Below are 1,580 nucleotides of genomic sequence, written 5' to 3' on the forward strand. Positions count from 1 at the left end.
CTCAGCCTCCCAAGTAGCTGGGATTACAGGCGCCCACCATCACACCCGGATAATTTTTATATGTTTTAGAAGAGATGGGGTTTTGCCATGTTAGACAGGCTGGTGTCGAACTCCTGGCCTCAAGTGATCCGTCCGCCTCGGCCTCCCAAAGTTTTGGGATTACAGGCATGAGCCACTGCACCTGGCAACAATATACTTTTAAGTCAATCAGAACGCCATCTCCCACTTCCACTCCTTGAGGGGAGAAATATTTACCCACCCAGCAGGAAAAGCCTCTCTCTAGTTTATTGTCTTACTGACATCCCATCAGTGTGAGGTTTACCAGAACCCAGCTGATATGGTTAGGCTTTGTATCCCCACCCAAATCTCATCTTGAATTGTAATCCCCACGTGTTGCGGGAGAGACCTGGTGGGAGGTGATTGGATCGTGGGGTGGTTTTCCCGATGCTGTTCTCGTGATACTGAATAAGTCTCACGAGATCTGATGGTTTTATAAAGGGCAGTTTCCCTGCGCTTGCTCACGCTGGCCTGCCACCTTGTGAGGGGAGTGGCTGCTTCCTATTCTGCCGTGATTTTAAGTTTCCTGAGGCCACCCGAGCCGTATGTGGAAAGGTGAGTCAATTAAACCTCTTCAGTTTATAAATTACCCGGTCTCTAGTAGTATCTTTATAGCAGTGTGAAAATGAACCAATACACAAACTTATTTTACAAATGAGGAATTTTGTTTCAAACACCTAATCTTACATCATTTTTGGAGCAGCAAACTATCCTATTTTTGAAGTTACAGATTTCGTACTTCCTGACAGTTTAGTATCAGCCCCTTAGCTACTCTTAACCCAGGTCAATATATATATCTCTCTTCATCTATTTTTCTGTCCTTTCTCTAAAAGTACAAGGAATCAATCTTCAGATAATGGTATCTTTTCTACCTGTGCCCTTGTCCCTTCCTCTCTCCTGTTCTCATAAAACCTTCCCACCATTTCCCTCAATTTGCTCATTCCCTGCTGAGAAAGCAGGAGCAACTGGTGTGGAGAAGAAAGCAACAGGGAATTAGACAACGAAGTGACCTTTAAACTATTTTTTTTTTTTTTAGCACTTTCCTCGTCCCTGAAGTACACATGTCACTATGGCCACATCTGTGGATGATCCCTTCTGCAAGGTTGCAGAGAGAAGCAACCGGGACCCAAAAGGGAATCGGAAAGCAGGGGTTGTGTAGGAAGCAGAGGCAAGGGTTTGGCGAAGTGAATGGGAGAAAATAAGAATTCAGTATATTTCCATGGAAATTAATATGAAAAATTGGCAAGGAAAAGTTCTGAAAAATCCATTTAAAACGCAAACAGTGTAGGTTAATGAAATATCTGCAGAGAAATAAATCTGTGGTTTTATTTCAGTGATAATCCAAATAGAGAATATATGGGTTAACATTTGGGCAGATGTCCTTAAGATGAAAGAAATTGAATAGTAATGCCAGCTGACTGCAGTTTCCCACATGGAAGGAAGCAAAGCGGGTGAAGAGTGAACATTTCCCAGGTGGTAACTGAGCTAGGTGCTTTGAACAGTATTTCCTGCACATGGCTGAT

At 43.2% G+C, this 1,580-nt stretch overlaps 1 annotated feature.

Annotated features, from left to right (window-relative positions):
- Positions 267-467: a silencer, noted in NCBI's record as "peak6812 fragment used in MPRA reporter construct". NCBI's record gives its function as "represses an SCP1 promoter by STARR-seq MPRAs in K562 erythroleukemia cells {active_cell/tissue: K562}" and the evidence as "EXISTENCE:reporter gene assay evidence [ECO:0000049][PMID:32103011]".

This window comes from Homo sapiens, chromosome 7, assembly GCF_000001405.40.
Source record: "Homo sapiens chromosome 7, GRCh38.p14 Primary Assembly".
NCBI classification, from domain to species: Eukaryota; Metazoa; Chordata; class Mammalia; order Primates; family Hominidae; genus Homo; species Homo sapiens.